The sequence below is a fragment of the Homo sapiens genome, chromosome 6 (genome assembly GCF_000001405.40).
Source record: "Homo sapiens chromosome 6, GRCh38.p14 Primary Assembly".
NCBI lineage: Eukaryota > Metazoa > Chordata > Mammalia > Primates > Hominidae > Homo > Homo sapiens.
Window position 1 is genome coordinate 104,513,628 of NC_000006.12, and position 18,050 is coordinate 104,531,677.

The 18,050-nt window shown below is 37.6% G+C and overlaps 1 long non-coding RNA gene across 4 annotated transcripts in view; it reads right to left on the reverse strand.

The window, feature by feature from the left end:
• LOC105377918 (uncharacterized) overlaps positions 1–13,845 on the reverse strand; it is a 64,633-nt gene extending 50,788 nt beyond the window's left edge. For all 4 annotated transcript variants that reach the window (XR_001744272.2, XR_001744273.2, XR_942828.3 and 1 more), the window contains exon 1: positions 13,647–13,845. This is a non-coding gene — a long non-coding RNA (uncharacterized LOC105377918). The remainder of the gene's footprint in view (positions 1–13,646) is intronic.
• Between the last annotated feature and the right edge of the window lie 4,205 nt (positions 13,846–18,050).

Below are 18,050 nucleotides of genomic sequence, written 5' to 3' on the forward strand. Positions count from 1 at the left end.
CATTAGTTCCCATGAGCATTCCACTAAGAGCTAGTTGTTTAAAGGAGCCTGACATCTTCCCTCTCTCTCTTGCGTCCACTCTCTTGCCATGTGATCGCTGCACATACTGGCTCTCCCTCTCCTTTTGCCGTGAATGGAAGAAGCATGAAGCCCTCACCAGAAACAGATGCTGGTGCCATGTTTCTTATACAGCCTGAAGAACCATGAGCCAAATAAACCTCTTTCCTTTATAAATTACACAGCCTCAGAGATTGCTTTATAACAACACAAACAGACTAAGACATCAATCGTCAATGTTCATTGCAAAGCAATATTAGATAGGTGTATTATGATTATACAGTTGACCCTTGAACAATGCAAGGGTTGTTTAAACCCCCAGGCAGTTAAAAATCTGCGTATAAATTTCGACACTCCAAAAACTTAACTACTAATAGCTTACTACTGACCAGGAGCCTTACTGATAACATAGTCAACACATATTTTGCATGTTATGTGTATTATATACCATATTTTTACAATACAGTAAGCTAGAGAAAATAAAACGTTCTTAAGAAAATCCTAAGGAAGAGAAAATGTGTTTACAAATCATTAAGTGGAAGTGGATCATCATAAAGGTCTTCATCCTCATAGTATTCATGTTGAATAGGCTGAAGCGGGCAAGGAAGAGGGAGGGTTAGTCTTGCTGTCTCAGGGGTGGCAGAGGCTGAAGAAAATCTATATATAAGTGGACCTGTGCAGTTCAAACCCATGTTGTTCAAGAGTCAACTGTATTTCCTTTCTTGTACAACTTTGTTTTTTCTCTGAACTACAAAACTGTGTAATGTTTCATTTACTTAGTTTTCTATGTATCCCATGTCTTGTTGGGGGTTCTAAAATCTCCCTATAATAAACTCCCCAATCAAGAGTCCTAGACTATTTCCTATTTTTCAATGTGGATTTTAACTTTCTATTTACTTATTGGCTTTCCCCCACTGGAATACACTGGTTCCTATTTTCTAATCTGGATTTTAACTAAAATCAGCTCTATTTTCTTATTGGCTTTCTCCTCCTGTTTTCAGGTAGATTATATCCCTTACTGGAATGTAATCTACCTGAAAACAGGAACTTTAGTGCCTAGAACACTGCCTGAACTACACTGGGTATGCAATAGATATAGTAATAAGCATTTTTTTCGAAGCAACAGGTCATTCAGATTTTATACAGTTAAAACCATCATAACTATGATAAAACTCAGAAATTTACAAGGCTTATCAGAAATTTTTTAAGTTTTATAGAGAATCTGGAGTATTATAACTAGGGTAAAGTCATCAAAATTAAAACAGAAAATCAAATTAAAAGTAAATAAATAAAAACAAGAAAAGGGCTAAAATGACCCAAGTATAAAGAAATTACTTTCTGAAGGTCATTTCATTACATTAATTTGGGTACTAGCTTCAAGTTATTTTTTAAAGTTTATTTTATCTATAAAATACATGCTTTCATTAAATGCATCATTACTTTTATGATCCTTGTAATCAATCTCCTTTTTCCCCTTCTAAACATGAGAAACAAATAAGACAGACACAAACATTTATATTGATGAGCTTTTAAAAATACATGGAGATGGCTTAAGGGAAAAGGAATTAAAGATAGCTTTATGATAAAATCTACATTCAAGGCAGAACTTAAATGACTAAGGATTCTGAGTATATTTCACAGCTCAGAAAATATTCAATCCAAAGTAAAATGGACCCAGAACAGGGTTTGTATAAAATAAGAACAGATGAGTAATTAAGGCCTACTTTAAGGCACTAAACTCTTTTCAAAAAGAAAATTGTGATCATGGAATTTTTCTTTCTCATGAATGTAGAGATTTTTTTAAAGCAATAAAACAGAGACTGCAATTCAAAGGCTATCTGATTGCACCTGCCTCACAGGCTGGTTTTGTTTGATGCACAAAAAGTTTTTTTTTTTTATTTCATTCTGTTTGGGTTGTTAATTTGAATTTCTTGCCAACGTTAAAAAATCAAGCAATTTCACATAAAAATCTGGAATCCTGACATCTCTCAAGAATTCCTGAAGAGCCATGATCAGCTGTACCTGATCAGTGAATACCCCTTAGACAGGCATAATCTCTCAAAGTAGCAAGATCACTTCCTCCCAGGCCTTCATATTCATTCATCTTCTTTAAATTAAGTCTCCTGCTTGGCTCACTGAGGGTTTGCATTTGCACACCCTGCAGGAGAATATCTCATTGCACTTTCGCTAATTTGAAAAGTCTTATAAATTCAAATCAGGATAACTTTTACTGTACACTAAGGCGGTTCCTAAGATGAAATCCTTGAGTTAGAGACATAATGGCTGATGTCTACAAGCTCAGGTTGGGGAGTCAGGAGGATAATGACACCTTACAATTTTACCCCTTCCTTCCAAAGGTAAGGCCTCCTCTGGCCACTTTAGCACATGTGTGGGAGACCACTGCTACAGCTCCTTACCTCTGGGCAACAGTGTAAACCTTTATAACACCAAGAGGCATGTCCTGGATTCTCAGAGTATTAGCATATTTGCTATAAGGAAACACTTCAGTCTCTGCAGCACACTACCCAATTAGCTTCAAGAAGATGACTGTTTTAACAGTAGTATGGATTTCATCTAATTTTCAAAGCAAATATCAAAAATACTAAGTCCTTCAAACTCTCTATATTACATACCTACTGTCTTTAATAAAAGATCATGTGATTTTTCTCATATTCAGAAATTCCCTTTTCTGCTATGAAACATTCACTGATCCCAATATTCATTAAGACCCATTCTTGACATTTGAAACAAACCTTTTTTAAAGCTAAAGACTAAGTCTCATAACAGCCCTCATTTATTTTTGCATTAATTGGTGGGTAGTTGACTTTAAAAATTGGCTTTAAACCCACATAGAAATCGAATTTTGTAAAGGCTTAATGACATTAATGCATATAATTTACAATCCACACAAAAGCTTTTGTCTCTTGTGGTCCCCTTTTTACTTCCCTTGATTCTGCAGTTTTATAATGATAAGCATTATAAAAGTGCCCAGACAGCTAAAGAGATACTTCCTGAATCCATATTTGGGTGTACAAAGGGAAACATGCTGCCAATTAAAAATGCAGTAGAGCCCACTATTGTTGATTTATGGCTGTGGAGGACATAACTTTTTCTCATTTTGATTATTCAATTTGGATAACAACCCAGTTGCTATGTGAACTAACTTGATTTTCCCCTTTGATGTGCAATTCTTCTAACACCATCATTTGGCATACTGACTGATGATTGGATAAATTTGCTCGACTTTTACTATGAATCATTTAAATTACTCCTTTGCATAAAGGTTTAAATTTGCTTTGGAGGATGCATTAGGGAATTATTTTAAACACTGTTTTTGTTTTTTTATGATATTGTCTTACTTTCTGATATTGTCTTTTTTCCCTCTCAAGGTTATCATCGTTCCCCTTTCACTTTACTAAAGTACAATAAGACACACCTTCCAAACTGAATAGATGGAGGGCAGGGAAAGTGGAGCAGCTAGAAATGGAATTCTCCCATCTACCTCTGAAACCTGAACAATAACAACTCCACCCCTCTGAGGACCTGGACCATTTGGTATTCTAGGTTTTGGCTGAATAGGTTGGATCAGAAATTGATCAGATCTTTTATAAAACTATAACTCCAACAATCCCCAAAGCCTAGAAATTCATATGCTGCATGCCACAGCAAAGCCCTAAGATCCATTTCTAATTTCCTAAGAAGAGCCTGGGTCACAGAGTCACACCAAAAGGAGTAGAAACCAAGGCCCATCTTCAGGCAGATCTACAAAACCACAGGATTAGACACAATAAACATGCAGCTACAACAGAGATCCTTCTCCTCTGAAATCCTATCTGTCAGAAAGTCCTCACCAAAGTCTCTTGGTTAAACAACAGAAGCACGTGCATTATATCCAGGAAACTGCTACAAAACAATCGTATATTACCTGGAAGGATCAAAAATGACATCAGAGGAGGAGATTTTTTCCCTCTCCTATTCAAACTGCCTGTGGATTGATTGGACGTTAAGGAACTGTGCTATCCAATACAGTAGACACTAGACACGTGTAGTTATTAAATACTTAAAACATTTCTGCATTAGTTTGCTGAGGATAATGGCTTCCAGCTTCATCCATGTCCTTGCAAAGGACATGATCTCATTCCTTTTTGTGGCTGCACAGTATTCCATGGTGTATATGTACCACATTTTCTTTATCCAGTCTATCATTGATGGGCATTTGGGTTGCCCATTGATGGGCATCCATGTCTTTGCTATTGTGAATAGTGCTGCTTATCCTCAGCAAACTAATACAGGAACAGAAAACCAAACACCGCATGTTCTCACTTATAAATAGGAGCTGAAAAACAAAAACATATGGACACAGGGAAGGAAACAACACACACTGGGGCCTGTCGGGGGAGGACCAGTTGGGGGAGAGCACCAGAATAAATAGCTAACACATACCGGGCTTAATACCTAGGTGATGGGTCAATCCAAACCACTATGGCACACATTTGCCTATGTAACAAACCTGCACATTCTGCACATGTCTTAATAATGTTTATATTGATTACATGCAGCAATGAAATCTTAGATATATTGGGTTTTGTAAAAATCTGTTATAAAATTATTTTCACCTATTTCTTTTTACTTTTCTAACAGAACTTCGCTTTTTTTTTTTTTTAAACAGGGTCTTGCTCTGTCATCCAGGCTGGAGTGCTGACATCACAGCTCACTGCAGCCTCAACCTCCTGGGCTCAAGCAATCCTCCCACCTCAGCCTCCTGAGTAGCCATGCCACCACGCCTGGCTAATTTTCGCATTTTTTTGTAAAGATGGGTTTCACCATGTTGCCCAGGCTGGTCTCGAACTTCTGAGCTCAAGCAATCTTCCCGCCTCAGCCTCCCAAAGTGCTGGGATTACAGGCTAATGTGGCTTTTTTAATGTAGAAAAGTTTAAATTACATAATGCAGCACATATTATATGTCTATTGGACAGTGCTATAATAGAATATGAGTGAACTTTTGCCTTATACCTTCTAGAATCTGAGCATGAGAGCAGATAGGATAAAAGAGGGGTTAGGTAAAGAGGTGAGCTTGAGGTGGCATCCTAGGAGCTAGAAAAGGTGAGATCCAGGGGCCCAGGGCAGTCTGGATGTGCCCTTTTAGTAGTAGAAGTCCCCATGCGAGAGGATCACAGAGGGAGGAGAAGGGGGCTAATGGGAACTAAAGAACCATTTTGCCAATGTTCGGAGCTAGGCCAAAGTGTTCTCAGGTTCAGCTGGCAGCAGAAAGAAGATTTTGATAAGCATCCCAAACTTGCAGAAGCATCCTTAATTATTAGCATCCTTCTAAATAGCACTCTTGAGATTTGCCAATCATACAGAAGAATTCTTTGGTTTTGTTGCCTTTTCAGAATGGCCTCTAGGTTGAATTTATTCCAGGCATCCATATGCTCAAAACATATGGAAAAGAGAAAAAAGAAATGTTTTCCAAAGTATTATTAAATTTTACTTCTAAAGAAATATTTTCTTATTATAGGATTTTTTTCAATGTTTTCTCTTAAACATTGAAAGAAAAAATAAATTTTGGAATTTTTACCCTACTGATATCGGTGGTAAAAGAGTTTGATTTTTAACTATTAATTACAAAGAATAAAAATGCAATATTTCCTTCTAGGGCTTATGGAGTTAAATATTAAGTTTCTGCACTTGGAGAACTAGAATTCTAAATTTAAAAATGAGACAAGGCAAGAAATGTTGCTTTAAGTAACGATGACTAGCCATAGGTAATGCTACAGAGTAAGAGAAATTTCCTCCTAAGGACCCTTACTCCTTCAATTTGCCTTTCTCTGCCACCAATTAATGCTTTCAGAAATTCTTGTCCCCGTTTTCCATTCCCCTTTCCAAAGATTTAGAGACCTTCTCTTGGCCCAACCTCATGTGTGTTACAGAAATGAAGTCTGACAAACTTACTCCAAAGAGATTATTTTGGTAAAAGATGTATCACATAGTCACTTGGATACAAGAGAAGCCTTCTGGACACCTGTTCTGTGACTGCAAACCTACACTCATCCAATCTGCCTCCAGACGATGCTAACGCTATGAACACAAACATGCTGACAGGCAGTCACATTTCCATGAGATCATATTCATAAGGGTGCATAATCACATGCTATGATGAGCATAATCACAGTGCTAGAAGATGACGTGAGCATTTATGGATTTGGATTAAGTAGTGTTTTAAAGTCAAAGACCTAAAGGACAGAAACGCAAGAATCCCTATACATAATCATTTCAAGAAACTATAGAATTTAAGCCTGTTTAGTGAAATCAGGAGGAATTCTACTATCACTGCTGAAAAACTTTATTCCAGGCAGGACATAAAGCCTCTGATTTCTGCTTTTGCCTAAATCTCCAGAAGTACCTACAATGTTCATGATGGGAGATGTGTATTCTACCCTCAGGTAACTTGGCAATTAAACTTGAATGTCATTGCTGCCCAATTACTGCCTTCAAATGTGTTCGTTTATTTACTTACCCAATTATTTCCTCAACATTCAACTATCTCAAAATTAAAAGTGAAAAATGAAAGTGGAATTTGAGTCACATTCACAACAAGTGAATACTTTAGGCTGAAAAATATGTTCATATATAAAACAGTCAATTAAATTTGAATTCAGCTGAACCAGTGGACTTTATAAGTCACCCTTAGGGTGGACACTTCTCAGGTAATGGACATCCATGCTGAATGTTCTTTTTCATTTTGTTTACAAATGAAACCAAATAGCTTCAAATCCATTAAAAGAGCCAATATATTATGGTAATATATTGTTAAGAGACATAATCCAAATGCTTCTGAATATAAATTCTCTGTTATTGGTGTCATTAATATCTGCATGATTCTAGACTTATTTTCATACTTCTTTTTCTTTTTTATTTTGCCAGAAACACCTGAAATTTAAGAAAATCCATCAAGGAGGATATGCAAAGCAAGAATATTAGGTGTTACACAACCAGAAGACAAGAGCAGAGAGGCAAAAAGAACCAACATAGAACTAGTAAAAGCAACAGTATAGCCTGGACAGTTCAAGGGATATGCTGACGCTTATATTGCTAAGAAATTTACCATGGTCTAATTTAACCTTCAAGAACAGCAACAGTTAAGAGCACTACTAGTGGTCTCCTTGAAAGGGCAAGATCGAACTCTATCACAGTCCCTGATCATTTCTAAAACAAGTTTCCCCTGAAAAATGGAAAGAAAGCTGTGCTTCAAAAAGCTCACTAATGAAACATCCTCTCTCTCTCTCTCTAAGAAAAGAGCTTCACAGGGGGAACCAAGATAAACATACACATACATACATAATATATCTATCAGGAAAGAAATCCTATTCTCTCCTTCCCATTTTTTTTCTTGCTGCACACCCTTAATAGTATCATTTACTCAGCTTTAATAAACCTTTCAGATATTTTTGTAAACAAAGGTCATCTAACATAAATTGGTATAATAATTCTTGAATCTGAAAAGGGTAAAATTGTAAGCCATTCTCCCACAGGACCGTTGTTTCTTAGGCACTGCTTCTCAGCTATTCAATTAAACTAGAAGGCAGAAAAGCACCCCATGCAGCACTTAGTCTTGCACTCCTCCTGCATCCAAGTAAGCCTGGATATGCCAAGTTTCTGAGCAATTGATTCAGAACCAATTTGTGGCAAAGAAATGCTCTCCCGCTACTTAGAGTGGAAAGATCTCTCCATGCACTTTTGTCTAGACAGTCTCAACTACAGGAATATAATGTGTTCGCTGGCCCTACAGTGATTTATTAAATGCCAAATCCATACAGCACAGGCACTAAAGCTTAAGAAATGGAAAAACAGCTTACCCAGTGGACTTGTAATGACTTATTAAGATTATGTTGGCAGCAAGACTTAGACAGTATCAGTAAATAATAGTGAGCTATCAAACAACTTTGGTTGAAATGGTAATGTTTAGAAATATCCCATTTAAGGTGGGGAAATGCATCCGCTGGGAATTAGTGACATGGAAAATATTCCCATGCAGTGATGTGAAAGAATCTCAGGTCCACTACAGCAATTCTGCTGGGAATGTCAGTTTCCTTTAAAAAATAAAAATAACCCAGAACTAAAACTCAGTTTTAAAAAAGAAAGGTACAGGCCAAAATCTACCCAAGAAAAAACAATTTTTTTAACTATAAAAAACCAAGTACCTTTTTCTATTTTTAGTTCATAAATCGAAAAAATCAGATGCTTATTATAAAATGTAAAATTGTGTATAAATATATTATTATATTTATATTTTCCATTGAGGATCCTATTACAAATAGACTGCTTCTCAAAAATTCCCTAATCAAATGCTACATGCCAGCAGACATTTCAAATAATTATAATGGAGAAAAAAAGAAGGTGAAAAAAATGTGTTTTCTGTTAAAAAGAAAAATCTTGTTTGATGATAAAAATACCTTTTGCTAGATGTTTGCTAAATACAGTTTTTCCATATGATCAGAATCAAGGTATGATGTTACCAGATATTTATCAATTATCTCAGCTATCCAGCAATGAGAAAAAAAATGTAATTGTTCTTTTGCAAACCATAAAATATACTTTTAAAAGGCAGCATATGATACGTGAAACTGACCATTACAGTACTTCCAGCAATATACATTATTCATGAAGGTATTAACTACTACTAATTTCTAACTTATATCAATATAAGAAGCACTATTGCTAAGAAAATAGATGTTTATTTACTTTCTGTAGAGGATATTATTCAGAAATCATCTAAAAATCCATTAATCTTTAGAGGAAAAAACCATTCTTTTTTATCAATTTGATGCAGCCGAAGCAATTTCCTCAAAATAATATATGACTGATTTCCTCAAATTGTTCTTTTTAATATTTAAACATTCATGATATCCAAAAATTGTAATGAGCTACTTGACAACTATTAGATACATATATTATTTCTCTAAAGTTCTTCAAGTTTTTCCTACGGAAGAAAAACAGGAAGCTGTGAGAGTGCCATGGGTCTTGTCATTGCCTCGTGCCTCCTGCCCGTCACACTCCATGTTGGAGCAGGCGACCAGAACTGGCCCGCGAGACTTTCTCAAGGGTGTACCAGGTGGCAGGTTCAAGGCAATTTGAAGTTTATTATTTTGCTATTCCTAAAAGAAACCATTTAAGGGGTGGCACTCAATGAGGTTAAATGAAATTATTGAGGAAACCAAAATTGAAAAGCCTACTGGAATAAACTTCAGAGTCCTGACCTCATGATCCACCTACCTCGGCCTCCCAAAGTGCTGGGATTACAGCCGTGAGCCACCACGTCACACCTGAGCTTTTCAAACAGGAAAAAAATTTTAATTCAGGTATTTTAAGTAACATTGGCCAAAACCAGGTATTTTAAGTAAACTTTGGCCACAACCAGTGTTTAGTGTTTTTTTCTGCTTTTCACAAAGATTCACGTTGGAAAACAACAATTTTAGTTTAATTTTTAGAACTTTAGATTTTAAATTTAAACTGAATTTAAATTTCAGTGGGATCGGAGGGTGTGCAGTGACAGGAAAAACTATGAGTTGTATTCCAAAAATATTTGGGATACTTATTAGGAATGACCTCAGTACTATATTTTTTAAGTAACAACCTTCTGCGTAATATTACATAATAAGAAAAAACTATACTTTGATTATTTCAAGGTAACAACAGAAAAGTTGACGTTCTGGTGGAAATTTGTTATGAATGTTATTTATTGGTTGACTAATTTTGAATTTTTTTTCTAATATTTTTCTCTGGAGGCTGAGGTATCCATCAAGATTCTAGAACAACAGATGGACATTGGCCCATGCTAGGGCAAACACATAACTGTAAAATTTCAGAACACCTGGGACCAAAAAAAAGGCCGATTTCAAATGGCATTTCACTTCTCAACGGCAACATTGTTAGAAAGTAATATAACAGTGCCTTCAAAATAAATCCCAACATATAATACTATTCTTAACCAAAAGGATAATCAGGAGTGAATGTGGAACAAATTCATTTCCACATATGCAAACTCTCAATCCATTTACCATCCAGGTAGTAAGCTTTCTCATGGAGTTCCCACCAAAATATAGGAGTAAACAAATATAGAGGAACACGTGGGACCCCAGAGACAGACAGAAGATCACTCATAGCAAAGCAATGGCAAGGATCCTAGGAGGAAGGAGACGGGAGAAACCCAAGACACAGGCTGGACAGCAGGTCCAGAGAAGTGAAATGATTGGATAATATATTGAGTTGAGAATTACACAATGGGAGAAGTTAGAAGATAAATTAGTGTAAATTAGGTAAATACAAAGAAAATTGAGCAAACCTAAAACCAAGCAATTTTCAATCCAAGAAAACAAAAACAAAAAATAGGAAGCAAAATGAGTGATATTTTATATGTTACCTGGCTCAACAATGATTAGCATTTGCATGATCCTCAGAACATAGACGATCAAAGAGTGATTAAGCTGAAAGTGAAATGTAACTAAATTTAAAGGTTTCAGCAGGAAGTATTCATGTGTATGGTTAGGGATTATGGTTATAAGATTTAGCAAATAAAAATACAGGGCACCCACTTAAATGTGAATTTCAAATAGTTAATAATTTGGGAGGTTCCAAGTATTTTATAGATAGTAGTAGAGGGATGAAAACACCTATATCCTCATATTCCATAGTAGAGAATCAAAACTAAAAAAATCAGTAAATAGCATTATAAGTCCAATAAGCAAATAGCAACATATTTGAAATGGGTTGCCTCTGACGAGCAAGAAATTATGACAAGGGGGATTCAGGTGGTATTGTTTATTATACCAATTATATGTTTTTAACAATTTTGTTCTTTCCATGCACATAGAATCCGATCAAAATACAAACTAAATTATTTAATAACTGAAGCAAATATGACAAAATGTTATAATTTGAAAAAGCAGCATACATAGATGTTTATTGTTTTATTCTCAATTTTTTTTCTTGGAAATAATCAGAGCTATCTAAGGAAATTTCGACAAATATTTAAAGACTAATGTTTTGCAAGGTTTCCATATTATTAAACTATTTGGGATTATCGTGATGAAAATTACGGAATAATTTGCAGTCATGTCTTTTTATTTACTTATTCATTCCACATATATTTATTGTTTACCTATGATGTTGGAGAAGCAGACAAGGTTACAGCAAATCAGTTTGCTAGCCACAAAACAGCAAGTATAGACAGATCAACAATGGAAAATTTCACTCCATTCAAGGCAGCTCACGACATGACAAGTCACTCCTCCCTTCCCCAGAGGTCCTACAGACTCATATATTCTTGAGTACAGAAGTGGCACAGGAACTCCTTGAGGGTAGTAACCCACTTCCATTATCTTTAAGGAATCCTTCCTAGTCTGACACAGCCTCTAAAACAGTATCTGAAGAGGAGCTCATGAAATTTGTTAAAGGAGTAGATGAAATTAATCAATGAGTAAATGATTGAATAAACTATATTTTAGAGGCTGTGACAGTTTTCCTTACTGAAAATGATTTTTAAAGTTCATCTAAAAGGCTACTGAATTAACCTTGATGTAATTACTATTTAAGTAATTTTATTAAATAATTTTATTTACCATTTAAATAATTGTATTATGTACTTTTAAATGCCACAGAGGTTTTATGATCGTTTAAATAATTGTATTATATACTTTTAAATACTGCAGAGGTTTTATGACACTGGAATGGAAGAGGAAACAGGGGACCCAGAGGATACCTTAAAGAAACAAACTACAGGACGTGATGGTACAATAGGGGAGAGGAAGAGAGAAAAATCAAAGATGTAGCACAGAAAACACTCAGCTCTGGAACCTGGAAAACAGGCGGTCCCGCTAAGAAAAACGGAAATGTAAAAGAACAGCCAGTTTTGAAGGAAGGCGAGAATTCATTTTTGTGTATATTAATTTATCTATCGTACCTAGGGCCCAGCGACAGTCATGCCGGAAGCATCTCAAATTTTTAAAAATGTAAATGTGAAAAGCAGACAAGCAGTTCCTGCATTTTGTCATCGCAAATATCATCGATTTGATTTCATGAAAGTCTCTTTTACACAACTCTATTTGAGTTTCTGCCTCCGTGAGTTCATTTATCAGGCTCAGCCATCACTTTCAGGAGTCATGGGGGACTGCAGCCCCGCCCTTAGTAAACCGGGTAAGTCCGGGCTCGGCTCGCCTATGCAGGAGTGCCATCTAGTGGTCAGAGAATGTCACTTCAAGCTAGACTACAGGAGGAATAAACAGAAGGGGACCTCAGGAGGAATAAATAGAAGGGGACCTCAGGGACATTCTGCTTTTGTTTCCAATTTCCAGGCGTGCTGTGACTGAAAAAAAGGAAAAACATTCCATTCATTGCCTAGATATGACTTTATGATAGCACGTCCAGTTACAGTGCCAAAAAGTGAAATCCAACGTCTGCTTTTAACGTATTCTTAAATGAGACTGATGTGGTCTAAAGGAGAAAACAGTAAAATCAGCATCGCTTTTTATTTTGAAGTTGTTTATATTTGGCAAAGAATGTGTTTGTGGCCATAGACACCATTTGGCTATCTTCAAATCAAGGCAAAGGTTTACAAATAACGAATTTGTAAATGTCTCACGTATGAATGGGCCCCTTTTCTTTAAAGTCACGCCCTTCATACGGTCTTATGCATACACCTGATTCTCTCTGAAAAAAGCAGCCGTTTTGCTGCCTGATGCCCAAAGTCATCCCTTTGTCTCAAAACGTCCAGAACACTTTGTCAAACCTTTAGAGCTATTTATGTTTGTGTCTTATCTCCCTCGCTAGGCTTTCAGCTTCTTGGGGCAGAGTCCATTTCTGAATCATGCATTAAAAGCTCCAAACAGCTGATTACCAGTGTTTCTAACACCAGGGAATCAAAGCCTCCTTTCAGAACTCAATACCAGCTGTGGATTTCCTCACCAGAAAATACGCACTGTGCACACAACATGCAAAATTTTGCTCGCACTCTCGGGAACTTCAGTAGCCCCTGGAAGCCCATTAACATGCTGTTCAGGTTCAGAAACCTGATCCAAAATAAACTTCTGGAACATAGCCTATTCATAAGTTGAAGTATCCTGTATGGGAAAAACAGGCACGTGTGGAGATACAGAGTAAAGCCTATAAAACTTGACTTCCCCTACATTGTCAACTATTCACCAGAAAAAAGAAAAAAAAATCTATTTCTGCTGATTGAAGCCGAAAAAGGCACAGCTCAAACCTGTGGAAATGAATACAATGTGAAAATGCACCATCCAAAGAGCCAGACATGCCCAAGACCCCTTCCCGTGCAAGGATACTAAGGAAGGCCTGCTACTCCCCCCAGCCCCACCCTTCAGGGCACTCTGGTGTCCTAGTTATCTGACCTAAGTTTAAAAAGAAAAAAATCTTTCCCCCTGTACTTGGCAATATTCAAATTTTTCCAAGGTGCGCTTGCTTACACACTCTCTCTCTTTCTCTCTCTCTTTCTTTCTTTCTCTCTCTCTCTCTCACACACACACACACACAATTAGATGAGGGAAATGTCCAAAGCACAAAAATAGATTTCTTACCCTAAATCTGATCTGGCCATGGGTTGATTTGGATGGCAAAACTGAGATCTTTTGTTTCTACCTTAAGCCTCCCCCAAATCCCCTTCTCAGACTCAGAGCACGGATAACCTATCCCCAGTTTTGGAGCCCTCCTTCCTTCCAAGAAAAGAATGAGACCAGAAAACTCAGTGACATCTGAATCACATGCACAAGAGCTCATTTCGATTGATGGGCCCTCCCGGGGGAAGTTAGGAGAGCTATGTTGGCACTTCCCTCAATCCGTGTCAGGATGTCGATAAAACCACAGACCCCTCACTACCCGCTCTGCACAACGCTTCCTCCTTTTCTCATGGAAGTAGAAGTGTCTTCTCTCCACAGGACATTTTGATTTTCCACAGTGTTTTTCAATAGGCTTTTAAAGTATATATCTATCTTCACAGCAGGGTTCAAATACAAACATTTCATCAGAAGTTAGGCAAATAAAGTTTGGAGAGTTTACAGGAAGAGCATAGCTCCAACCCTCACTCATCAGTTCTGGCACGTCGCAGAGAGAGAAGATACTTAGTGAACACAAAAGTCGGAGTTCTGAGCCTCATTGTGGTTCTCAAATAACTGAGGCTGTGTTATAGGAGAGATGGTACAACCTTGGGCAAGAACACTCCAGAGGAAATTCAATTTCCACATCCGATAGGGGGCGAGGTTGGGCCACATCAGTGTCAGCTCTGACACTGTTAAGCGGATGGTCATCTCAGAAACAAATAAAGCAAAGGGAGGTTATGCAGGAGGCAAGGGGAGAGTTGGTGGTCAGCAGATGAGAGCTGGAGAGGGTCAGACACAAACAGGTAAACCAGAGTATAGACCGGGGCGCTCCTAATATCACCTGGAGCAGGGATGGTTGTCAGGATCATCTCTGGCCAGCATGACACTGGTGTGACATCTTGAAACAACATCCAACCAATCCAAGCAGGCACAGTCCCAAATGCGGGATGCACTGCCAAGGCTCAGCCCAGAAAGGAATGACCAGCTGGAACGATCACAAAGAAAACCATGTGTAAGCAATGGGAATTTCTCCAGCCTTAATGTTAACATGGGGCTGTATGCTGACTTGGTAAGACAGGACTTCTCAGTCTCAGGACTATTAACACCTTAGGTTCAAAAATTCTTTGTAGTGGGGGGCTTACCAGTCCATTTTAGGATTCTTAACAACACCCCTGGCCTCTACCCATTAGATGCCTTTTACGCTCCTGTCATCCCCAGTTGTGACAACCAAAGCATATTCCAACATTGCCGAATGATCCTGGGGCAAAATTACCCCTGTTGAGAACCACTGTTCTCAGAGCATGTTTCATGGCCACCAGGTGGACTGAAATAATGCTCTGGCTTTTCATAGCGTCTTTCCCTGTGCTCCCTCCTTGACTGTTTGCGTACCCCCCTGTTCTCTTGGCTCTGCCCTCAATTTGCTCTCTGTCCTACACTTTGGCCTTGCCATTTCTAGCCATCATTTACCCCTAGCTTCATCTTTATCTAGGATTTAAGGAACTATGGGCAAGCTTTAGATCAATGCCTTCTCACCTGAGGCTCAAACACTTCCCCCAAAGCCCCCTGGCCAGGATACAGCCTCTCCTTCTCTAGAGCACAACACTGTCTCCTGAGACCTGAGCCACAGAACAGGGAATCTGATGAGCACCAGTTGAAACACAGGTATCTGGGAGTCAAAGGAAGGGGCAAAGCTGTTTTATGCTTATTCCTAGGGGTCCTAGAAGCTGAGAAAACTCTCATTCCTCTTCCTATATCATCTTCTAGGCAGACAGGGCAATGAGGTCACCCCTTCCCTATCACCTTCACGAGGTGCTGAAGCAGAGACCCTCTGGAGACTTCCACAGTACTCCTCTCCTCTCTCAAACAACCGAAAAGTCAACCCGCCCCATCCTCTCTGCTCAGAGGAGCTTTGTCCAGCTCCACATCTGTAGTTTTGCTGTTTGTGGATTAACTTTGCCAATTGCACCATCAGAAACTACTCTGGGCCACAGGGACAGGGTTCTTGCCCCTCAAAGGAGTTTCAACTACAGGGAAACCTATTCTTTTTTGGTAATTTTGACCTGTGATGAGAGTTTATTTATTCAAAGAGCCTTCCTTACCAGGCACTTTTTCTGATGTTTCAAGTAAACATATTCCATATTACCAAAATGCAACAACTTGGTGACTGACGTAACCAGATTCTAGAAGACATGCTTTCTTACTATGATCTCACTTCTTAACCCCCACTCCACTGAAAAGGCCCTCTGCCATCTGCTCTCAACCTTGCCATTGATTCTGTGATACTGTGAAATTTACTTCTTTCTGCTTCAGTTTCTACATCAATGGAAAAGACAATAACTTTTCTTCTTTCTCACAGATAGATCTTTAGGTGTTAATAGGATACTATATCAAAAATGCAATAAATTCCACCCAAATATATGTCCACTAAATTAAAAAAAAATCCTTCCTAGCTTGCTAACAAGTAGGGCCTTCAACTCAACTCCATAATGCATATGTCTTATTCCAGATGGAAAAGATACAGACTGTAAAACTAGTGGTAGGCAGTAGGACAAAGATCTTAGCAACCAGAGGTATCAACAATGAAAAAGATGGGCATATGAATGAGGAGTCACTGGTGAAGCTATTCAAGGAGAAAGTATAATCAATGACAAATGCCAGGTCATATGTGGTATAGTGAGGATTCTGGTGTTGAGTAGAATGTGAAAGAGAGTGACCTCTGAAGTCCTTTGTGCATCTGCAATTCTAACATGACTTCTCTGGCCACCAGTGAATGTTCATCACAATCTAGAATGGGCAATTCATTTACAATGGAATGTTTATCGCCCCAGTACAATGTTTTTCTTGTTATTTTAAGATATCTTCTTGGCCAATGGGAGTGAGAGTCACTCGTGGAATTGACTTTTTGTCCTACACTTAGAAGGCCAAAGAAGACTAGTATGAAACCTAAAGGGAATAAGTTTTCTCTACTTTCAAATCCTTTCCATGAATAAGTCCTGGTGACTTTTTGTTCCATCATCATCACTGTCCTTCTGGGGACCAAGGAACTCACTCTCTGGGTCAGGAGTCTTCTGAGACCCCAGGCACATTAATAAGGGCATGTTCATAAGGGTAGCTTAGATAAAGCTCAGTGAGTTCAGGGCACTGGAGAATATCAATTCTGTTTCAGAATTTTTAATTTTCAAGACCTCTTCTCAACAAAATATCTAGCAAATTAAAAGTATTCTTCCTACTATAAATCTCTTTGCATCTCTGCTATAAACCTATTTCTCTTTAGGGCAATGGGAATACCTATAGCAGAATAAGGGGAGGGTCACATACAAGAAAGTTCAAAGATTAACATTGCAAGAGCTCTCGCCACATATAATTACATCATATAAGAAATTATCCTGAGGCAGAGGATTGTCATTCATAGAAGAGTTTGGCACTTCGAGGGTGATAAAGACATGCCTTTAAATAATTATGTGAAAACACTCAGCAAAGAGAAAGAGCAAACTGTTGTGATATCAAACCTGTTAGAAAGCACGCCTTCATTTAACAATGTAGGTCAGGTCGGAAAGGACCAGAAAAGCTGCAGGTGGCTGTCTTCCAAGTGTTAGAAATTATTGGTGCATTTTTCAAAAGCATGAACTACATTTTGAAAATAAAAATGCTGCTTCTTTAATTAATAAGATATATTCAGTTATATGCAGCCTTTCACCAGACCTTTAAGTACTCTATTTTTTTCATCTTATTATCAGACTACAGAGAGAATAGTGGTAAGCTGATAAAATGCTCTATGGAATTTAGTATTCTTTTATCTGTCCTTCCCTGGCCTTCAGTTTACTCAATTTTTTGTCTCTCAATAGTTTAATTACATGTGAAAAGACTCCCAATAACATACTTGTGTTATAGCATATTAGAATTAAATGAGGGGAAAACTTTTCATTATGTGGTTTTATTGTTGTTCATTTGTACATTCATTTGACAATACTGACTCAAGTTGCTGTGTGTTCTCTTAGGCTCCATGTATTTTATATCCCAGAGCTCCATCCAGGAAGCTACATAATTAAAAGAGTAGCTTATTTTTCTCATACTATATAGAGATAATATAATTTCAACAGATTCTATTTTCATCCATTATGAAGCTGTCTAAACTTAAGGACACCATTTTCTTTACGAATAAACTGACTCTTAACATTTCAGTACCCAATCAGGCATATATGTTAACTAACATCAAAATTAAATGAAAATCATCGGTCAGACAAATCCATTATGTATGAAGTTAACTATTACAGATGAAAACAAAATCTAACCTAGTCAATGATTTAAGGAATTATTCTCACTTTATTAAAGCACACACACAAACCAGCTAAATTCTTGGAAGAGTTTAACTATGAGTTTAGCCAT